Source organism: Homo sapiens, chromosome 3 (genome assembly GCF_000001405.40).
Source record: "Homo sapiens chromosome 3, GRCh38.p14 Primary Assembly".
Classification (NCBI taxonomy): domain Eukaryota; kingdom Metazoa; phylum Chordata; class Mammalia; order Primates; family Hominidae; genus Homo; species Homo sapiens.
The window spans coordinates 142,719,447-142,743,661 of record NC_000003.12 but is presented as its reverse complement, the minus strand read 5'-3'; the positions used below and the strand labels follow the sequence as shown (position 1 = coordinate 142,743,661).

At 37.7% G+C, this 24,215-nt stretch overlaps 1 protein-coding gene across 24 annotated transcripts in view, besides 2 other annotated features; it reads right to left on the bottom strand.

The window, feature by feature from the left end:
• Nucleotides 1-19,628, bottom strand: part of TRPC1 (transient receptor potential cation channel subfamily C member 1) — an 83,855-nt gene extending 64,227 nt beyond the window's left edge. For 8 of the 24 annotated variants that reach the window (NM_001413377.1, NM_001413379.1, NM_001413382.1 and 5 more), the window contains exon 1: nucleotides 18,931-19,628. In NM_001413377.1, the coding sequence (NP_001400306.1) occupies nucleotides 18,931-18,963 (33 nt within the window). In that variant the 5' untranslated portion in view covers nucleotides 18,964-19,628. Of the gene's footprint in view, nucleotides 1-75; nucleotides 178-7,128; nucleotides 9,471-18,930 lie in introns of those variants that run through there. The other 16 variants (XR_007095723.1, XR_007095722.1, NM_001251845.2 and 13 more) reach the window with 7 other exon arrangements.
• Nucleotides 18,210-19,076: an enhancer, noted in NCBI's record as "H3K27ac hESC enhancer chr3:142443428-142444294 (GRCh37/hg19 assembly coordinates)". NCBI's record gives its function as "activates a minimal SCP1, AML or CMV promoter by ChIP-STARR-seq in naive H9 embryonic stem cells {active_cell/tissue: H9 hESC(naive)}" and the evidence as "EXISTENCE:reporter gene assay evidence [ECO:0000049][PMID:30033119]".
• Nucleotides 19,335-19,384: a silencer, noted in NCBI's record as "silent region_14790". NCBI's record gives its function as "represses an Ori minimal core promoter by ATAC-STARR-seq in GM12878 lymphoblastoid cells {active_cell/tissue: GM12878}" and the evidence as "EXISTENCE:reporter gene assay evidence [ECO:0000049][PMID:35858748]".

The window sequence follows — 24,215 nt, the reverse complement described above, 5'->3', positions numbered from 1 at the left end:
GGAAAAAATGGCAATGGGGCAAGAGATCTATTTTGGTTTAAAAATCCAAATTAATAAATATTTAAGAGTACTAACTACTATAGTTGGTCTTGATGATCGTTTTGGTCGATGATTAAGTAGTATATCAACAGCTCCCACTACTTCAGAGTCGATTGCCACCAAAAGTGCATCTGCAGACTTCAAAAAAAAAAAAAGTTAAAAATGAAAATGGAAGATAAAAAGGTAAACTACTTCTTTTTACTAATTCATAAATAAAACTTTTTAAAAATTTAAACTGTATTATATACAGTAATACAAAATTTTTCAAAAATTTTGACTGTACAAATAGTACATTTGCTTGCCTTAGGAGTACTTCTGTGTACCACAATACACACGTTTCTGTCCTGGTTTCAATGCATGAGTTGGTAAAATAATGAATGTCTCATTGAAGGGATTATTAGAGTAACAGTGCTGATCCATGCAGGATTTAAAGTTGAAAATTTTTTTTCAAGATCCTTACTCTTGAACTGTGGACCAAAAGAATCTTAACAATCCAAATCTATAAAAGAAACTGTCAAGAACTATTACTACAGGTAAAGGATTTTTTTCAGTCTAATGAAAATGATTATCATCAATGCAAACAGGAATATAGGGAGAATATCTAAAGGTGAGAGCCTTCTGTTCTCATTTTTAAAACACATGGCTGACTAAAATGCTACAAATTTGACATTTATGAGCAATTTTATCAAGTATAAGCCACAAATAGTTAGGCTACCAAAGTTCATGGAGACTGGAGGGAGAAGTGACTTTATCATTCTGCTCCCAGTCTATAGCTCACTGTGAAGATCCGAAAGAGGAAAAAGTAAGGAGACTCTGAGGAAATGGGGACTTTTCAACTCTGTAACAAAGCCTATAGTCCTACTGGCAACTATAACATCAGGTTTTTGGATTTTTAGGGAAAAATATAAAGGAAGAAGGAAAACATGGGGATAAATAATGATTTAATCTAAGAAAATGCCCTAATTATTTTCAATCTGTACATTTTAACTGCTATAATCATTAATAACTATTTAAATCAATGTTCTTGCTCTTGGAAACAAAACTATATCGATCTTTAATATTCTTTGTAGCTGAAAAGAGTAAAGTTTATATTCACTTTATCTGGATGTAAAAAATAGAACTAAAAGTGGCAGACTTTACCTGAATATCTAAAAATAGGACTATGCACCTCAAAAAAAAGGGTTGGAGTCCTCACTCAACCCTTAGGAATCACCTATGTTTTCCCACAGAAAAACTTCCCACCCAGATGGGAAATTTAACCCATTGCACTATCTCTTAAAACTTTCAGGGTTCATTGAGCTGTGGCCTATGCTTTAAAGTCCTAGCATTATTACTCTGCTTTGCAAACATTTCTCTTCAGATTTTAGCATATTTAATCAGTTGAAGGAAATGAACAAAAAGAATGCTATATCCATTACTATTAAATATTTCATTTATGATTTTTAATTTTTTTTTTTTTTGAGACAGAGTCTTGCTCTGTCACCCAGGCTGGAGTGCAGTGGCACAATCTTGGCTCACTGCAACCTCCGCCTCCCAGGTTCAAGGGATTCTCCTGCCTCAGCCTCCCGAGTAGCTGGGACTACAGGTGCATGCCACCATACCCGGCTAATTTTTGTATTTTTAGTAAAGACAGGGTTTCACCCTGTTGGCTGGGCTGGTCTCTAACTCCCAACCTCAAGAGATCCACCCACCTCGGCCTCTCAAAGTGCTGGGATTACAGGCGTGAGCCACTGCGCCCAGCCTATGATTTTTAATTTTAACCAATAAAGCTAACTATAGTAATGTCATTACTTTCAAAGTCAAACACCAGGGAACTTCAACAATCTGAAAAATAGCCATGGATTTAAAAACAGCAACATATTGAGCTGTCACAAAGAAACTCCATGGGTATTATTTCCCAAAAGAAACAGACCCAAGCATTCTGATTTAGAATTGTCCATAAATGATGAATATCTGGCTTTCCCAAGTATCCTTCAGATCTTTACTGAATAAAAGAATAGCAAGATTAAAACCAACAGCGTAGAGGGAAAGGAAGAAAGAATTACTAAAAGTTGACTACTGAAAAGATTAAATACCAGTACAGCAAAATCACTATCAATGCACAACAGTCTAAAGCCACTTAATGTAAGGACAAACATGTTAATAGTTTCAGACCATATGAAGCAAAGTAAAATAATTACATTCTCAATTATTCCAACTAAGGATGGTAAAGTTAAATTATATTCAGATACATTACTTAGTAAGGAATAAAGATTTACATTAAATCTTTCAATGCTTAAAAGGATAAGCTTCAGCTATAAAAATATTCATTTACATTAAAATTTCTTGTAAATAAGGAGTTACCATTTACTTATTCTGCACAAATGGTATGTTATTTGATAAATCAATGGCAGTTATGAGAGAAATAAATGTTTTAAATTATTTTAAAAATACATAGTTATACAAAAAATCCTCACTAGTTTTGCTTTCCAATTTCTCAGATATTTGACGATTCTTTATTAAAAGCTCTTCAATATATACTTATTACATATTTATGAGATCATTATCTTCCTTCCTACCTTAGAATTTATCTTTTCAACAATTCCCATACTCTTTCCTTTAAGCTCAGAGTAAAAAAGTTACGTATTTCCTTTCCAAAGCTACATTTTCCACCTTAGTATTCTATTTGATGCTCTCCAATCTTTAGAACCCTGGTCCTTCATTTGCAGAAATACCAGTCTAATCTCCCACCTCCCAGAACTTTAAATCCTTCATCACTCTTTGCTAACTTGCTTACTAGCTCTTTGCTAACTTGACTTAATTCCATCTTTCTCTTACCACTCGTTTTCTTCTTCCTTTCATTGTGTCAAACTTTGCAAATCAAAGTGTATCATTTCTCCAATTCTACTGATGCCAGTTTCCAAGTCCAATTACTTTTTCTACCTTCTAATTTTTCTTAATTTCTAAGCCAATATGTTAAAAACTATTCTTTTGGCTTTCACAATGTTGCATTATCCTAACTGCCTCTGATATCTTCAACAATTCATTTGGTCTTTAATGAAACTCTTTCCATGTAATGCTCTTTATTAAATGTAGATGTTTCCTTAAGAATGAATCTGCACCAGCCCTTTGCTCTTCTCCATGATTTCACCTACTCTCACAATGGTGATGGGCATTCCCATGGCCCTGACAGCTTACTGTATCTCTTTAGCCTGATCTCTCCCTAGAAATATAATGTTCATCTGTGTTTGTCTGATGAGGACTGCCTGATAGCTGCCAAATCAACAAGGATAAAACCAGAATTCACATTCCCTTGCCCCAAGCTTTACTTAGCTTCTGAACTTAATGTTTTCCTTTCTTCCTTCTCTTAGTCACCCACGTTTAAGATTTCCAAATCATCCTGGACTCCTTTTCAATTTCCCACTCCAAATCAAAATATTCACTAAGATTTGTCAATTCCTCACAGCGGTCTCCAACCTTTTTGGCACCAGGGACTGGTTTCATAGAGCAGGTAGGGAGATAGTTTCGGATGAAACTGTTCCACCTCAGATCATCAGGCATTGGTTAGATTCTCATAAGGAGCATGCAACCTAGATCCCTTGCATGTGCAGTTCACAATAGGGTTCGTACTCCTATGAGGATCTAATACCATCGCTGACCTGACAGGAGGCAGAGCTCAGGCAGTAATGATCGCTCACCTGCTGCTTACCTCCTGCTGTGCAGCCCAGTTCCTAACAGACCACGGAACCATATAGGCCATGGACTCATATCTGCCTTTTCCCCCTTCTTCTCATAGCCACTGTTTTTCTTACAGCACTGTTCCAGTTCAAGCCTCAACCTCTTCATATGTAGATTACTACAAAAACTATTGACATAGGCTATAGCCTTTCCCACTTTCCATTTCCCAGTCTATACTAAATTCAGCCACTAGATACATCTTTCTAAAATACCACTGGACACATCACATCCTTTCTCGAAAATCATGTAATGATATCCCCTAACTATTATATAAAACCCAAATTCCTTATTCTGGCATTCAAGGCCCTTTGTATCCATTTTGTTTTAATTATTTTTCCTAATTCCTACTACTCCCCAACCCAACTGTTTTGTTCAAAAATGCTAAATCAATTCAGTGTCTCAAAAATATACATTGCACATGGCTCTGTTTATATCCTTCTCCACATCTCCTGTTCCCTACCTGTCTTTACATGTTTGAGAGTAGATTAGCATAATAGGTAAGACCATAGATTCTGGAGCCAGAACCTAAGTTCAAATTCCAGGTCTGCCATTCACAGAATGACTTTGGGCAAGTTACTTAACCTTTTTTACCTGTTTCCTCCTCTATAAAATGGGGACAATAATAATATCTAGGCTGGGCACAGTGGCTCACACCTGTAATCTCAGCACTTTGGGAGGCCAAGGCAGGTGGATCACCTGAGGTCAGGAGTTCGAGACCAGCCTGACCAACATGGAGAAACCCCATCTCTACTAAAAATACAAAATTAGCCGGGCGTGATGGTGCATGCCTATAATAATCCCAGCTACTTGGGAGGCTGAGGCAGGAGAATCGCTTGAACCCAGGAGGCAGAGGTTGCAGTGAGCCGAGATCACGCCATTGCACTCCAGCCTGGGCAACAAGAGCGAAACTCCATCTCAAAAAATAATAATAATAAAATAATATCTAACTCATCCCTGAATTTAATTTGAAGATTAAATTCAAATCCCTATATTGTGAGGATTAAGTAAGTGAACATATTTAAGGTTCCTGGCAGAGAGTAGTTATTATATAAATGTTAGCAATTATTAATATTTCAAGGCTGAGTCAACTGATACTTTTCCAATGAAATCTTTCTTGATAGCCCCAACCTATTCTATATTTCTAAATAATGTATATCAAACCACAAAAGTTTAAACATAAAACAGGGTTTCTCAATAGCAGCACTACTGAAATTTTGGGCCAAATAATTTTTTGTTGTGGGGACTGTCTTGGGTATTGTAGGAGCCTCTACCCACTAGATAACAGTAGTAAACTGCCCTCCAATTGTGAAACCAAAGTATCTTCAGACATTGCCAAATGTCCCCTTATGGTGACAAAATCATTTGGTTGAGAACCACTGATATAGCACAAGATACATGAAAGCTCTTATAAATGCAAAGCAATATAAAATGGTCAAATATTATTACCACTCAACACTTACCAAATATACCTTTGTATTACTTAATTTACTTGTAATTCATACATACTTTAATTGTCCAATTTGTCTTAAAGATCCTATCACACAGAACCCATGTTTTACTTATTCATTTCCACAATCATACCCAACCAAAGGCCCTGGACATTTGTGGACTGATAAAATAAGACACAGGTAACCTGGACAGAACACAGTGAACTAGAAAGAGCATGAGATTTGCAATCAGAAGATTATATTTAAATCTTTGTCTTGTCCTTACTAATTTTAGAACTTTGAGAAATTCATTAAAGTCTATGAGCCTCAGTTTTCTAATCTATAAAATGTAACATCTATATAGGTTGACTGTGATGTCTGAATGTGATCAAGTATATGAAAGCACCATGTATACTGCAAAACCATTACATGTATATAACCATGTGTAAAAAGACAAAATTATAATACCATAGTAATTCTTTTATCCAGAATCAGCGTATGAATTTTTTTCTACCCTTATTTTCTAGGTAACTGAAGCTTATGCCTTTAAGTGTTTAATTTTAAAATTTAAACTATTTTGATGGAAGTCTTCTGCTTTTGTGTCTTATAAACACACAAACGCACATACACAAACACACATATATACAGTCTTTCTTCTAAAACAATAGGTACTGAATATAATTTAACTCTTCCTTACTGACTCTGCACCATTGTTATAAGCCTTAATTATCATCCTAACATACAGCTCCCTCAGAGATCACATGTGTAATGCTGTTGACCTCTGTTAAACAGTGTCGGAGGTACCACTCCTCATTTTATTCCACTGCAGCTCTCATGCCCCTTCCATTGTCCCTCAGATTCTCTATGGATTAGAAATTAATTATGTTAAAATGGAAACTAAAATGAGAAAAAATAGACCCTGATGGAGGACTCCTATAACTAAAGTTCATAAATTTAATCTGTAAACTTCATGGCAGCAAACCACTGGCTGCTCAGAGGTATTTTTTACTTACTTTCTGCTTCTCAATTGTGGTCTGGATAGCTGAAGTTGCTGGGTAAGCAATTCTTTTTTTTTTACTCCAAACATGTACATGGAGATAGTACCACATGTTGTTTTATACATACATACATACATACATACATATATATATATAAAATAGCAATGTACATAGAATTACCCTACTTATATTCAGAAAATCTGCTGTGAATGTCTCCTGATGTCACTCAAAAAAAATGTGCCTCATTAAGAAAAAAAAAAAAAGAGGTAGAATTAATGTGCCAAGTCCCATCATAAGCAAACCAAAAAGGAAAGGAAAATATTATCAAATTCCCTTCAGAATCTCTAGACTGAATTCATTCAAGACTTACACACATGCCTGTTTTTCTACCCAAACTGATATGAAGTAGGAAGGTCTACCTTTTATAGATGGATAAAAATCATTCATCTTTAGATAAAAACAAACATTAAGTTTCAAACAAAAAAATAAAATTTAATAAAACCAAAGTCAAACTGAAAACTGTTTTGAGGCAGGAACATTTTGTTGATGTGTCTGTAACTAATATGGGCCAGAAAAAAAACTATTCCTCTGACACTTCCAGAGTATTTGTACTATTTTAGATATATAATATAAATAGTGTTAACATAGGTAATGAAAACAAAGTCATCTTTAATAAGTCATGTGGGGAAAATGACATTTGGGAGGAAAAAGATAAATCAATTCAAAATATTATACTTTTCAAAAAGTTTTTTTTGGTTTGTTTTTAAAACTTTTAGTGCCTCAAAACCAAATAAAAGATGAAAGACAGAAGGAGAGTAAGAGAGACAAAGAAAGAAAAAGAAAGGAAGAAGAGGAGGAAAAAGAAGAAAGAAAACAAGAAGGGAAGAAAGCATGGCATATCTAACAGCACTTAGAAGTTAACTGGATTAAATTATCTAGCCTTGTACCTGACAACCGTAGTCCAAAAGAAGCTGCAGTATATCCAAGTTTTCGTTTTCAATAGTTATGGTAACAGCATTTCTCCCAAGCACATCTACGCAATTTATGTTCAAGTCACCTGAACTGTTTTCCTCCAAAATCTTTTTAACCATATAATAGTCACCTAAATAACAATATACAAACATAATTTAATATCCGTGACATATCAAGTAAGGATGACTGTAAAGAAAAACTTAGCTTGTTGAATTAAAAGATTAAAAGCCTAAACTCATTTTTGTATAAGAAAATGTACACAGAGAATGTGAACATTTCCTTGATGAAAATTTATACCTTAATAAAATAATACGTACATCAGCAGCAGACATAAAAAGTAGAAAATTTTTAAATGTACAGAATAAAATAAAAATTATTAGTTTAAAATTAATAACTGAATGATCATAAGAGGAGAAACTTTTGGAAGATATTTAAAGCAATTTAATAAAGGATGCCCAAAGGCACAGACTGGACACTAGAAAAATTAGATGGAAAAAGCTTAAAGAATTAAGTTTTATACCTCAAATATACATAGATATTTACTTACATAACATAGAGTTAAAAATGAGATCTAGTAATAAGCAGAGGATATTATAAAGAGGTTTTACAGGAGAAAACACTTTGGAAAAGCAGTATAAATACATATATATTCAAGGATATGTATAGTAAAGGGAAAGATGTCTGAAAATCCTCTTCCCTACTTCCCACCCTCCCAACACACACACACACACACCATCTCATTAATGAAGCTGATTAGATTAAATGGCCAGGGAACATTCAGTTCACAAAACTCTTAAGGCAGGACTAGGATTAGTGCCTGACCTGTTAGGAGCAGGCAAATTGCCTTCTGTGTGACTGTAGCCCACAACAAAACAGTTGTCCCATGTGAGGAAATGACAACAATTACAGCAGTAATTATTTTCAGCAAGGCCCCACTGTATTTGTCTGCTGACCAGATGGTACAGGAATATGGGGAATAAATCAAGAGAAATGCTAATTAAATAGAGAAAAAAAGCCAAGGTGGGTTTTGCTTGTTTTGTTTCATTTGACTTGTTAAACAATAGATAAATAAGTCATTTTACGTGATGTGCAAATACAGTTGCTCATTAGAAGTCTATAAATAAACAGGGAAAGAACAATCAGCATAGAAAATAGAAAAAGAAATGATTTCATGATACAGAAAAAGAAAATACTGAAACTGGGCTAAATAAGTGAGTAAGAAAGACAGGTAACATATTTTATTTATTAAAATTTCAAGTAAATTTGCTACTATTTTTAATCTATGGCCTTAAACTCCCTGCCTCACACATACAACTTCTTTTGAAGGAAGCTGGGTGATAGTTTTCTTGACAATGTATTTCCTTAGGTCCCTCAAGAAGAAAACTAGTCACAAAAAGAAATATTTTCCCCATAGTACTAGTAGTTAATAGTTAGACACAAATGCTCCCTGGGAAAACCTTATCAGACAGACACTTCACAAAGTGATACTCTAAGTCACAAGTTGAACCAATAGTGACCAAAGATAGACCAGTGAAAATTTATCGCTATTACTGGAAAGTGACATTTAAAATCTTATTTCAGGTGACTCTATTTCAACATCTTAGTAGTAGAATGCTACACATAAAAATTCTGCTATACTTTGTTATCGTGATGTGTCCAGGTGAAAAGTAATTTTTTATTTATTCTGCTTAGGACTCATTAGGCTTTCAATTTTTTTTTTTATTTTTATTTTTTATAGAGATGAGGTCTCGCTATGTTGCCCAGGCTTGTCTCAAATTCCTGGCCTCAAGCAATCCTCTCGCCTCGGCCTCCAAAAGTGCTGGGATTATAGGCATGAGCCACCACATCTGGCCTAGGCTTTCTAAATCTAAGGACTTCTACCCTTCATTAATTCTTCAGTATTTTCAGCCATTCTCTCTTCAAATATTGCTTCATCTCCATATTGCTTTTTCTCTTGTCAACTTCCATTAGACATTAAGTTAGACCTTCCCATTTCAACATCTGTGTCTCTCAAGATTTCCTGTTTTTTCTTTTTTTCCTCTCTCTTTCCTGCATTCTGGGTAATTTCTTCACATATTTCTTCCACTCACTTATTTCTCCTTTAGCTTCCATTCACATTCCTCCTTTAACCCATTCACTGATTTCTTAAAAATTTAATGACTGTATTTTTTATTTGCATAAGTTTTACCAGATTTCTTTCCAACTCTCTTATTTTCTTATGTTTTCATTTCCTTATTTTAACTTTCTCATCATTTTAAACATAATTATTTTGTAGTCGCTGTATGACAGTTTAATTATCTGAAAGTAGTATTAATTTGAACCCCAAGACAACAAGAGGCAGGACCATGGTTATGTATTCTTAAAGGAGTCTTATTTTTAGCCTTATTCAGAGCCCACAATAACACAAACAAGCTTCTTTGAAGTCTCCATGTGCTGGTAGATTGGTTTTTCTCCTCATCTACCTCTTTGCTGAAGGTACAGTCCTTTAAGAATCCTGGTTTTATGCTTAGATGTTGAATCCAACTCCTCACTTTGTACAGTCTCCAGGCCTTGTAACCTGTTCTCATATGGGCATTAAGACTCAAATCCCTGCAATGCCCAGAACAGTAACTCTTATCCCCACCCATGGAGCAGCCATAGTGTCAGCTCACAAACTCCTGTTTTTCAGTTTTTTCTTCACTTTTGTATCTTGGTTGTTTCCCCTACTTTCTTGAAAGCTCAGCTGTTCATTTAACTGGATGTTCATTATATTTTAGCTATAATTTCTAGGTGATTTGAAGAAGAAAGGTTTTCAGATTATCTAATCAACCATATTGCTAGAGACAGAAACGTAGGAAGAGCTACACAAATAAATCCTTATGACATTTTATAAATTTCAGGTATAGCAAATAGACAAAAATAACTGCTACATGTTTAAAAGTTTAGATTGCTGTTAAAAAGGAAAGTACATTACAAATATCATATATTCCAGCTTTAAAGTTTTTGTTTTGTTTTTAAGACAGAGACTCACTCTGTCACCCAGGCTGGAGGAGTACAATGGCACCATTTGGCTCACTGCAACCTCTGCCTCCTGGGTTCAAGCGATTCTCCTGCCTCAGCCTCCTGAGTAGCTGGGATTACAGGCAGCTGCCACCACGCCCGGCTAATTTTTGTATTTTTAGTAGAGATGTGGTTTCACCATGTTGGCTAGCCTGGTCTCGAACTCCTGACCTCAAGTGATCTGCCCGCCTTGGCCTCCCAAAGTGCTGAGATTACAGTCATAAGCCACCGTGCCCAGCCCTAAGGTTTTAAAGATTATTTCTATTGTAGTCAAGGAGCTATACAAGAAAGAAAGAAAATCCCTAAAAATCAAAACCAAATAAATAATTTTCATCCCTAAAAATAAAAGGTTCCACCCTGCTACAGCTAACACAGTCATGCAAATGAAAAATCACATTATAGTCACAGAACCTACAGGAAACCTAGAGTGGTTGCTAAGCATTTCAGAGAAGTTTATATTTGCAATTCATTTAAAACAATGCACTATGTCAAAAAAAAAAAAAGACCAGAACACTCTTAATTTTTAGGATGAGTATATATGTAAAAAGAGGTCAGAAAACTTAAAATAGACAGCAAGTAGCTAGTTATAGAACAAGGATTACAATTCAAAATGCCTGTGTATGACAGACAAATATATAAATGCCATTCATTTTATAACGAAGTTGCTTTCAAGAGTTACATCTTTTGTCTTTTAAAATATAACACATAGAAGGAAGTGCAACATAATCTGTTTACTTTTTTGGCTAGATGGTAGTCTTTTTCAGTCAAGGAAAAAGAAACCATTTTCAATCAATTCCACAGGGAGTATACCAATTCAACAGCACGTCTTCTTAGCCCCCTCTCTAAAATATCTCCCATAATCATCTACTTGTCTCCATGTATACTGCTACCCACAGTCCAAACCCCCATGATCTTCCTCCTGGACTCTGCAATAGCCTCTTAACTAACACAGCTGCTGACCAAGATTCTCTCCTTAACCAAACTCTAGTCAGGCTTTTCTGAGCCCTTCTCCACAAGGCCTCCACCTTGGCCCATATAAACTTGAACAAAACACTTAAGTGTTTCTAACAGCTGAAGGCCGGATCCCTAGGATGACCCTAGCCCCTCTTAAAATGCCTGCCCGAGAAAACTCAAAGCTGACATAAAAATTTACTTTTGTTCCAGCCAACACCTGAAGACAGGGCCCCTATCTCTCAGCCTCCAGGGAGGGTAGGAGCCTAACTCCTTAAGTGCCTTTAGCAAACTCAGGTGGGATTCACATGGACCAACTCCCCAAGCCCCGTATTTTGTAATTTTTCACTTCCCTGACTCCACTGAGCCCACACTCACCCCCTTCCTTGTTTACTCTTTTCCCTATTGCAACTTATATTACTTACTAATACTTTATACTGTAGCACAGGGGTCAACAAAGTTTTCTGAAAAAGGGTTAGAGAGTAAATATTTTAAGCTTTGTGGGCCATGCACTCTCAGTCACAGCTACTCAACTCTGCCCTTTCAACACAAAAGCAGCCACAGACCATATGTAAACAAATGATAGTGGATGTGTTCTAAGAAAATTTTGTTTATGGACACTGAAATTTGAATTTTATAGACTTTTCATGTGTTACGAAATTTTTTTTAACCATTTGAAATATAAAATGTAAAAAACCAGTTTTAGCTCCAAGACCTCACAGAACAGGCAGATATGGTCTGTGGCCCATAGTTTGCTCACTCCTGCTCTAGCCCCACCCCTTCAATCCACTCTGCACTCCACAGCTAGAGTTATCGGTTAAAAATTCAAAACACAAGCCGGGCGCGGTGGCTCATGCCTGTAATCCCAGCACTTTGGGAGGCTGAGGCAGGCGGATCATGAGGTCAGGAGATGGAGACCATCTTGGCTAACACAGTGAAACCCCGCCTCTACTAAAAATACAAAAAATTAGCCGGGCATGGTGGGGGGCACCTGTAGTCCCAGCTACTTGGGAGGCTGAGGCAGGAGAATGGCGTGAACGTGGGAGGCGGAGCTTGCAGTGAACCGAGATCACGCCACTGCACTCTAGCCTGGGCGACAGAGCGAGACTCGGTCTCAAAAAAAAAAAAAAAAAAAAAAAAAAAATCAAAACATATCAAGCTTACAAACTTTGTGATTTTTCTATCACACTTAAAATAAAGGCCAAATTTCTACTGTGGCCTACAAAGCCCTATAGGACTTAGTTAGACCTTGTTAACATTCTGAATTCATCTTGTGCCTCTCTGCGGCTCAGCCAATGATCATTCCAAACCAATGTTTTCCAAACTGCAGGTTGCAACCCATTAACAGTCATAAAATCAATTTAGTGAGTCCTAACCAGCAATTTAAAAAAAATGAACTAGTATACAAAATACCAGAGTGATCCCATAGATCCTTAGCAACAAATTTACTCTGGCCAACTGTAATAAACCCTTGAGAAATACAATGGAGAAATGTTACAATACTGATTAAGAACAGGTGATTCCACCTCTTCCTCATTAGCATCTCGTTTGATTTTATGGCAAAGAGAGTATCAATGTTGTTCAGTTTAATTTTATATTAACCAAATTTGAAGTTAGTTGTGAAGTGTGAGAGAATTTAATGTCAAAAAATTTGTAAAGCTTTTCAAACCAAGTTTCTGTAACAAACCTGAGTGTGGCAATTGCAACATTCTAACTGAAATATTACCAATGATGCTTAAAACAGAAAGTTTTATTAAGAGGAAAAAGAATGATGATGTGAAAAAATAAAAAGACATGATCAAGTTCAGTTGCTGGATCTGGAAATATAAATGACAATACTGATAAAAATGTTAACTGACATCAAACTTCAAATTAGCTTGAACCAAATTTTAAAAAGGAAAAAAAAAAAAAACCCATGCAGACTTTTTACAGTGAAAATGATTTAAAATGTAGCTTTATCAAATGTGCAAAACTCGTATTACAGACCCCAATGTATTTATAACCATATTATTGTAAATGAAACCTTCAAAATTAAAGATACTAAAAAACATGGTAGGCTAAACTGTTTATAACACTTTGAACATTTTTGTAAAAAGACAATTATTACCATAATTTCTTAGTTGCTTATGAATCTTAATGAGGACCATTAATAATAATGAATATCATTTGGCAAAAGAGCAAAGATTCACACTGCTGCCTGAAAAAATTACACTATAGCACAGAAGGTAATGCTGATTTTTTCATAGTAAATCAGTTGATAAAAATTATAAACAGCATATTCTTAACTCTATTAGAAAAATAGTCAAAAGCAATGTTTATTTTGTAGTTAGAGTCTGATAAATGACATGAGATCCCATTCACAATGCTGCTGTAAGTTGTTTAAAACTTAGTTTATATCAGGTTGTTGCAACACAGTCTCAGAAAGGATTTATTGTGTTGCTTAAATTTAATCTCATATACATTTGAATTATACATATTTATAAAACTAGAAAAATATATTACTGGCCAATATGTTAATCTAGAAAAACATATGTTTAAAAATTAACAGAAGCTATTAATAACAGTGCCAGTCACCCCCACTTTATACATAACAAAGCTTTGGCATCCAAAGAAATCTACTGAGTCTCATGACTATATTGATACAGTGCTGGAATTCTTTTAGTCCTTATCATTCATCTAGGCTCCTAAAAGTCATTAGTTAATCACATCTTAGTGATAACTTTTGAAATCCTCATTACCTATTCAACTATTGATCTTAAATCTTAAATTTCTCAGTATCATTAAATTTGGAAGAGTTAGCAATGAAGAAGATATTTAGAGCACTGGCAGCAAGGTAGAAGAGGAATTATTAGGTTACGATAATACCTATATAATAAAATTTAATCTTTTCACACTCTTCCTCCAAGTCTATATACAAGGTATAGCTAGGAGTCTGGCTTGGGTTACATTTTTTTTAACTGCCCAGATAAAAGACTGACCCTGTACACGTAATATCCCATTCTCCAAATCACATATAGGCCATTTAAGTTAAATTGAGCACTTGCTTCTTCCCTTCAGACAGATATATTTAATACAAACATACTTTTGTTTCCTTACTTCTCCTCGCTAGAGCACAAGAGAGCATCTCCATTAAAGAATATTCTCCTAAAGGATAGGGATGTACTCAGTACTTTCTTGATAAAGCACTTTCACAGTGCCTTAACACAATTAACAGCTTGATAAGTATAGTTTGATTGTGACTTACAGAAAAAGAGCAGCAAAGTTGCGTGATCACTATAAAGAATTACCAGTATCATAGAACTACCAGGCAGCTAGCTGCTGAATTACTAGTCTGTTAGAGATAAATTATCCACTAAGATTTTCGCAATTTGAGTCTTTCGTTGCTGTTGTTAAAGTATCCCTGAACCGTTCGCCATGGCAATGTTTTTCAACTATTACATTGTAAAACTTTGGTTATTTGAAAAGCTTTCCTATATAAAGTACATAAATGCTATGTCTATGATGATTTGTGAAGTGTTTATAGAATGCTGCCTACAATACCCTCTTTACCTCTCATTTCTGCAAAGTTTTTTCCTCACAGCACATACCTCCTTACATTAGGTGCCCCATTGTCAACATAACACTTCACACCAATACTCAGTACTCTGCATTTTTTGTTTCTTCCCACCACCATCCTCTCTAATACCAGACTTCAAAATCTCTTCTCAAATAAGTAAAAAAATTTTAAAGGCCCATTATATATAAATAAGGTGTTTAAAAAACAGCAGCTTAATATTACTTCTCTCAGAAATGCTGCACTTTTTTCTTCTGACTCTGGCTTCTCTCTGGAGTTGTTGCACATTTTTAAAGCATCCTTAGCCCAAAGGTACACAAAGCTTATGGAGAAAGTCAGTCATCAGGCCAGGCACGGTGGCCCACGCCTATAATCCCAGCACTTTGGGAAGCCGAGGCGGGTGGATCACTCGAGGTCGGGAGTTTGAGACCAGCCTGGCCAACATGGTGAAACCCTGTCTCTACTAAAAATACAAAAAAATTAGCCGGGCGTGGTGGTGGGCACCTGTAATCCCAGCCACTCAGGAGGCTGAGGCTGAGGCCGGAGAATCGCTGGAACCCGGGAGGCGGAGGTTGCACTGCACTCCAGCCTGTGCAACAAGAGAAACTCCATCTCAAAAAAAAAAAAAAAGAAATACAGTCATCAAAACATTTTTCCTTACAACACAGCAAATCTTACCACAAAGGTGACACAGGACACTGAGACTAGGCTGAGCCCACTGATAAAGGTGAAAACCTGCTCTCTCCATCCCTCCCCCTAACCCCATGCTGAAATTTCAAGAAGGGGCTTCTAACTCATTTACCGCACATCAGATTTCCTGAAAATACTCTCCATGGAGAGTTGGCAGGGACTGAATCATTTCATACTTTCTTTCCTCCACATGAACTGATTAATGATCATCAGCAAATCAAACAGTTTATGCAGGTTTATATTTACAAATATATACTAAAAGCTACCATCTACTCAACAAGTTTTTTTTTTTTAGAGGAAAATTAACATGAACTACACTTAGTTTAGGTGTTTTCTAAATAAACTTATTTACCCTTTCTCCTGTTAACAGACCTGAGGGACACCATAGGTGCCTACAAATAAAAGAGGCTCATTATGACACTAATTCTCAATGAGAGAGGACAAAGCCATGGCTGTAAGAATCACTACTTAATTTTTCATAAAACAACATATTTATAGTCAGCTCTTGTTTCAATTAAGTTTTACCTCTGAATTTATATAGCTTTCTATCTCTAGAAAGAACATGAGTATACTTTCTGAGAATTTTATCTGGGGGTCCTAGACTTCACTTTATATATTGCTGGCACAGTAACTTTCAATTAAGGTTTTCCTTTACAAAGAAAGGATTCAATGTTACCTCTGAGATGATCCTCACCCACTATGAAGATCACTAACAGCCATTACTAAGTGGCCACTACCTAGATCAGCAGTTGCCTAAATCTACCGAACTTACTTACATAAAAGCCAGCTATCACAAACTATAAATCTTTTTCTTTTCTCTTTCCTACATTTATTGTACTCTTTAATCTGTACACATCTTTCAAAGGGCCACCCATCCACTAACATACACATATCCATCTCATCTCCACAATTTTTGCTTTAGGAATTCCTCAATTTTTCCTAAGAAGAATATGTTATGAACATTTTGCATATGTACAACAAGAATGCTACATGAAAAGAATGAGACACTCTAGAACACCATAGATACTCTAGAGTTGATTTACTCTGGTGCTACTGAAGTACCATGCTTGCTTTTTACCCTTCATTGAACAAATGTAATACACAGAAATCAAGGTTTATAAAGCATCCATACAAAGAAAATGTAATTTCAACTAGTAAGTCCAAATATGGATGTGTCTTTTCTGACACAAATGATGTTCACTCATTCACCTACAACCAGATCTATATAACGTAGTGGTTAGGAGTGCAGGCTCAAGATAAATGCCAGTTCTACTATTATCTAACCAATGTAACCTTGGGCAAAGTAATTTTAAAATTTTGCTAAGCCTCATTTTCCTCATCTACAAATTGAGGACAACAACAGATCTGGCTCATGGGGTTGTGGGGTTTAAATGAAATCCTCTATGAAAAGCATGAACACTCGACCCCAATAGCTGCTTTAGTGAATGTTTAACATTTGGTCTGAGGAAGGCTCCAGTGTAATGGTGGAAGTCATAGCTACTTCAGGAAATTGTTCACTTTTAGACTGGTTTAGGTAACATTTTAAAAAGTCTAACAATATTAGCGAATACAAACACGTAATCAAAAGAATATTCCTATAACTCAAAGTTACTTTTTAAATGTAAATGTACCCCATAAGTATGCGTAAGAATTATGCTATTTTTCCAAATCTAACTCAAGAAGTTGTTTAGACATACCTGAAACAGAAAATTCCCATTTTAGCTCACTTGTTTTAAAAATTTCTAATTTATATATGGGGAAAATATGCATATTTAATTTCCACCCTACCCCCCCAAAGCCAAGTCTCTCATCTCAATTATGTTATAAAATAAAAAACTGACAAAGAATATCAAGGTATTTCACCTGGTACTACTAAATAGGCTATACAACTATCATAAATTAAAACTCTCTTTTGTTTGAGATATGTCATGCAATAATCCTAAATATACACAATGCACAAATACTTGCTCAACCATATTCCACTGATATTTTTCTGTCCTCAGTTTGACAGGAATATCAAATTTCCTTTCTTGACATACTTTCTGTTTGCTTTAAAATAACCATTGCACAGTGAGCTGGAATACATGGAGCCAGCACTTACTCATTTTAGTACAACACAATCTTCTCCCCTTCCTCTCTCAGAACTTTTGAGGGAAGAGAACTCAGGCAACCCACTCCAGCAATACTAAATAATTTTACATAATCCACAGACCCTATTTTTGTGACGTTGTAGATGTATATTCTGTTTCTTTACATCTCAAAGACTGCTCAAAGTTGTGTCCATGGTGTACTTTAACAATATTATTAATATTGCTTTCATAATATTATTTAATACTATTACATAAGAACATAAAAATGGCTCAACCACAGACATAGGTGGACTTTGTTTATATGTCAATTGTTTTCAAAAAATCATGTAAATAAAATCCTATTTCAAAAGCAGGAGGAGAGGTTAGGAAGGCTGTCATTTATTAATTACACATTCACACATACAAACAAACAAACAAAAATCCTGTGTAGTTAGTCTTTTCATAGTGTAAACTGCCCTTTGGGTTTGTTCCAGAAGTTTGCATGTTTCTAACAGAGTTTTCCTAAGTGTACAGCCATATAAATTTGGAAAAAGAAAAATTTTAGTGTTTCCATGTAGGAAACAAAAGCAGTCTTAGGGCAATCAATTTCCTATCCCTTTTGTTATATACATCACTACAAAGGATGATTGCGTGACATGGCCTTAATATGGCCATAAAAATGATTAACTTCTAGACTAAAAAAAGGATAACGCGCTAAATATATTCCACATATTTTTGCCTTGTAATTCCTGTAATTATTTTTCACTATCTTTATCTCCCAAAGAAAGATCTGGGAGCAATAAATCTTTCTCTCCAATAAAAAGCACTAACAATCAAAGGCGTTCCGTAAATCCAGAGAAAGTTTTGGCAACTAAGGCAGAATTTCTTCCGTCCCGTCCTTACTTCATGTATCTCCACCTAGGATATTCCGTTATTAATGCCAGTCAACAGTCACTGGCTAAAGCACTGGTCAGGTGAAGCTAAATAATAGAGGGTCTGGTTTTGTTTTTAAGAAAAACAAAAACCAGGTGATGAGAACCCTCCATACGAGGCATCCTAAGGTAAGGTGACGGAATTTTCCGACTGGAGTGTCGGAAACTAGCCTCTCGACTCCCGGAAGGAATGAACTGCGAGCCAGAGAGAAGACCAGGTCATTCATGCGGTCAGTAGCAAGGGCGGCGCTAAAACGCTGGGGTCGGGGCTCCCAAGGCGCTACCTAAACCCCGGACCCCAAGGCCAGAGCCACCCCCGACGGTGCAGCGCTCCGAGGGCGCAGCCCCAGCTCCACTCTCCCGCCAGCTCCACACTCACAGGGCAGAGGCGGTGAGGAGAAGACCGCCTGAGGCAGCAGGCGAGGCGGGAAGACACTCGGCGCCTGAGACAGAGGGAATGCCCCGATATAAGTTGAGGCGGGGGAGAGGACTAAAGGTCTGGAGGACAGGGGCGTCCAGAGGAGAAAGGGGCCTAACTCTCACCCTTGTCGCACGCCAGCAAGAAAAGCTTCTCATTCAGCGTATTCTCCTCCTTCACCTCCCGCACATCCTTCAGCGCCATCACCTCGTTCGGCGAGGAAGAGGATGGAGAGGAAGGCAGGGAGGAGGAGGAGGCGCCCGAGAGGTCCGTGCTCGGGTACAGGGCCGCCATCATCGCGGCCCATGAAGGGGGCAGGCCAGGAGACGGGGGCGGGGCCCCCACCGGCCCCGACCCCGACCCCGACCCCAGCCACGCCCCAGGGCTGGAAAAAGGATGAGTCGTTCCCACTGCTGCCTCGGCTCGAGGCCCGTTGGCCCCGAAGGGCGTCGCCTCCCCTGAGAACCAGCACTCGCCCTCCACTGACAGCCCCAAGTTGGTGGCGGCGCATGCGCGGCCCCGGGGCCAGCGACCCCTCCCCAGCCGCCGGCGCCCCGGCCGAGCCGGTCCGCGCCCGTCCGGGGACGACAGTGTGGCGCGCGCCAGGGCGGCAGCCGAGCACGGGGCCGTGCCAGGAGTCGCAGGGGCCGCGCCTGGGGCGGCCTAGCCCAGGAAGAGGACGAGAGATCTGTGGGAGAGGAGCTCCAAGAGGCGCTTCTGCGCACGTTGGGCTCCAGGGCTGTGGGAACCGCTGGCCCAGCTGCGCTCCGAGGAGATGTTCGCGACTCTGTCCTCACGTCATCCTCTGCTCCTCTGTAGCGACGACACTAGGGAGGAGCCTGCGGCAAGGGCGGGCTTGGGTGGGCGGGGCCTGCGGCAAGCGGGGCGTGGGTGGGTGGGGCCTGCGGTGGGGACGCACTGGGCTCCTGGAGCCCGCTGCAGCTTCCTTCGCTCTGGTGAGGTGAACCGCAGTCTGAGGAAGACTTCGCTCAATCGTCCCTTTCCACACCCAGGGTACTGGTTTAAGGTAATTAAGCAAATATGGAGCAGTATGTTAATTGAGTCTCTGACGACTTAATGTTTAGTCGAAATCCTTTGTGGAATTGTCCAGCTATTTCATATTCTGGTGCACTATGCTTTAAAGCACAATGGAGAGCCAGACTCGTGGGTTTGTATGTTGTACTCATTTTAGGCTGGAAATGAACTCTCATTTATAAAGGATATATAGATATATAATTATATTATGTTTAAATAATTTATACAAATATATAAATTTTTATTTCCATATTATTTCCATAGGTTTTTGAGGAACAGGTGGTGTTTGGTTACATGAGTAAGTTCTTTAGTGATGATTTGTGAGATTTTGATGTACCCATCATCGAGCAGTATACACTGAACCTAATTTTGTAGTCTTTTATCCCTCTCCCCCTTCCCAACCTTTCCCCGAGTCCCGAAAGTCCATTGTGTCATTCCTATGCCTTTGCATCCTCAAAGCTTAGCTCTCACTTGTGAGTGAGAACATACGATGTTTGGTTTTCCATTCCTGAGTTACTTCATTTAGAATAAGAATAATAGTCTCCAGTCCCATCCAGGTTTCTGCGAATGCCATTTATTCATTCCTTTTTATGGCTGAGTAGTATTCCATCATTATATATATATCACATATATATATACCACATATATATATATATATATATATATCACAGTTTCTTTATCCACTCATTGATTCATGGGCATTTGGGTTGGCTCCACATTTTTGCAATTGCGAATTGTGCTGCTATAAATATGCATGGGCAAGTATCTTTTTCGTGTAATGACTTCTTTTCCTCTGGGTAGATACCCAGTAGTGGGATTACTGGATCAAATGGTAGTTCTACTTTTAGTTCTCTAAGGAATCTCCACACTGTTTTCCATAGTGGTGTACTAGTTTACAGTCCCACCAGTAATGTAGAAGTGTTCCCTTTTCACCGCATCCACACCAACAGCTATTATTTTTTGATTTTTTTGATTATGGCCATTCTTGCGGAAGTAGGGTGGTACATACGGCATAGCAGTTTTGACTTGGAATTCCCTGATCATTAGTGATCTTGAGCATTTTTTCATATGTTTGTTGGCCATTTGTGTATCTTCTTTTGAGAATTGTCTATTCATGTTTTTTTGTTTTTTCTTGAGACAGAGTTTTGCTCTTGTTGCCCAGGCTGGAGTGCAATGGCGTGATCTTGGCTCACCGCAACTTCCGCCTCCCAGGTTCAAGTGATTCTCCTGCCTCAGCCTTCCGACCAGCTGGTATTACCGGCATGTGCCACCACACCCGGCTAATTTTGTATTTTTAGTAGAGACAGTGTTTCTCCCTGTTGGTCAGGCTGGTCTCGAACTCCAGACCTCAGGTGATCTGCCTGCCTCAGCCTCCCAAAGTGCTGGGATTACAAGCATGAGCCACTGCCCCCAGCCCTTTTCATGTTTTTAGCCCAGTTTTTGTTAGGATTTTTTTTTTCTTGATTATTTGTTTGAATTCATTGTAGATTCTGGATAGTAGTCCTTTGTCAGATGCATAGATTATGAAGATTTTCTCCCACTCTGTGGGTTGTCTGTTTACTCTGCTAACTCTTCCCTTTGCCATGCAAAAGCTCTTTCATTTAATCAAGTCCCAGCTATTTATCTTTCTTTTCATTGCATTTGCTTTTGGGTTCTTGGTCATGAAATCCTTGCCTAAGCCAATGTCTACAAGGGGTTTTCCGATGTTATCTTCTAGAATTTTTATAGTTTCAGGTCTTAGATTTAAGTTCTTGATCCATCTTGAGTTTATTTTTGTATAAGGTGAGAGATGCAGATCCAGTTTTATTCTCCTACGTGTGGCTTGCCAATTATCCCAGCACCATTTGTTGAATAGGGTGTCTTTTCCCCCACTTTATGTTTTTGTTTGCTTTGTTGAAAATCAGTCGGCTGTAAGTATTTGGGTTTATTTCTGGGTTCTCTATTCTGTTCCATTGGTCTATATGCCTATTTTTATGCCAGTACCATGCTGTTTTGGTGACAGTAGCCTTATAGTATAGTTTGAAATCAGGTAATGTGATGTCTCCAGATTTGTTCTTTTCGCTTCATCTTGCATTGGCTATGCAGGCTCTTTTTTGGTTCCATATGGATTTTAGGATTATTTTTTCTAGTTCTGTGAAGAATGATGGTGGTATTTTGATGGGAATTGCATTGAATTTGTAGATTGCTTTTGGCAGTATGGTCATTTTCACAATGTTGATTCTACCCATCCATGAGCATGGGATGTGTTTCCATTTGTTTGCCTCGTCTGTGATTTCTTTCAGCAGTGTTTTGTAGTTTTCCTTGTAGAGTTCTTTCTCCTTCTTTGTTAGGTATGTTCCTAAGTATTTTATTTTTCTAATAAAACAAAATACTTTTGCCGCTATTGTCAAAGGAATTGAGTTCTTTGTTTGATTCTCAGCTTGGTTGCTGTTGGTGTATAGGAGGGCTACTGATGTGTGTACATTAGTTTTGTATCCTGAAACTTTGCTGACTTCTTTTATCAGTTCTAGGAGCATTTTGGAGAAGTCTTTAGGGTTTTCTAGATATACAATCATATCATCAGCAAACAGCAACAGTTTGACTGCCTCTTTACTGACTTGGATGCCCTTTCTTTCTTTCTCTTCTCTGATTGCTCTGGATGGGACTTCCAGTACTATGTTGAAGAGGAGTGGTGAGAGTGGGCATCCTTGTCTTATTCCAGTTGTCAGAGGGAATGCTTTCAACTTTTCCCCATTCAGTATTGTGTTGGCTGTGGGTTTGTCATAGATGGCTTTTATTACATTGTGGTATGTCCCTTGTATGCCAGTTTTGCTGAGGGTTTTAATCATAAAGGGATGCTGGATTTTGTCAAGTGCTTTTTCTGCGTCTGTTAAGATGATCATGTGATTTGTTTTTAATTCTGTTTATGTGATGTATCACATTTATTGACTTGCATATGTTAAACCATCCCTGCATCCCTGGTATGAAACCCACTTGATCATGGTGGATTATCTTTTTGATATGTTGTTGGATTCAATTAGCTAGTATTTTGTTAAGGATTTTTACATCTATGTTCATCTGGAATATTGGTCTGTAGTTTGGTTTTTTTTTTTTTTTTTTTTTTGGGTTATGTTCTTTCCTGGTTTTGGTATTAGGGTGATACTGGCTTCATAGAATGCTTTAGGGAGGATTTCCTCTTTCTGTGTCTTGTGGAATAGTGACATTCTTCTTTAAATGTCTTTAAATGTCACAGGATCAGCTGTGAATCTGATCCTGGACTTTTTTTGTTGGTGATTTTTTTTATTACCGTTTCAATCTTGCTGCTTGTTATTGGTCTGTTCAGAGTATCTAATTCTTCCTGATTCAAGCTAGGTGGGTTGTATCTTTCCAGGAATTTATCCATCTCCTCTAGGTTTTCTAGTTTATGTGTGTAAAGGTGTTCATAGTAGCCTTGAATGATCTTTTGTATTTCTGTGGTGTCAATTGTAGTATCTCCCATTTCATTTCTAATTGAGCTTATTTGGATTTTCTCTCTTCTTTTCTTGATTAATCTTTTTAATGGTCTATCAATTTTATTTATCTTTTCAGAGAACCAGCTTTTTGTTTCTTTTTTTTTTTTTTTGTGATGGAGTCTTGCTCTGTCACCCAGGATAGAGTGCAGTGGCGCAATCTCAGCTCACTGCAAGCTCTGCCTCCCGGGTTCATGCCATTCTCCTGCCTCAGCCTCCTGAGTAGCTGGGACTACAGGTGCCCACCACCACGCCGGGCTAATTTTTTGTATTTTTTTAGTAGAGACGGGGTTTCACTGTGTTAGCCAGGATGGTCTCGATCTCCTGACCTTGTGATCTGCCCGCCTCGGCCTCCCAAAGTGCTGGGATTACAGGCGTGAGCCACTGCGCCCGGCCTATTTCATTTGTCTTTTGTATTTTTTTTTTTCCATTTCAATTCCATTTAGCTCTGCTCCGATCTTATTTCCTTTCTTCTGCTGGGTTTGGGTTTGGTTTGTTCTTGTTTCTCTAGTTTCTTGAGGTATGACCTTAGATTGTCTATTTGTGCTCTTTCAGACTTTTTGATGTAGGCATTTAGGGCTATGAGCTTTCCTCTTAGCACCACCTTTGCTGTATCCCAGAGGTTTTGATAAGTCATGTCACTATTGTTGTTCAGCTTGAAAAATTTTTAAATTTCCATCTTGATTTCATTTTTGACCCAGTTGTCATTCAGGAGCAGGTTATTTAATTTCCATGTATTTGCATAGTTTTGAAGGTTCCTTTTGGAGTTGATTTTCAGTTTTATTCCACTGTGGTCTGAGAGAGTGCTTGATATAATTTTAATTTTCTTAAATTTATTGAGATTTGTTTTGTGGCCTATCATATGATCTATCTTGGAGAAAGTTCCA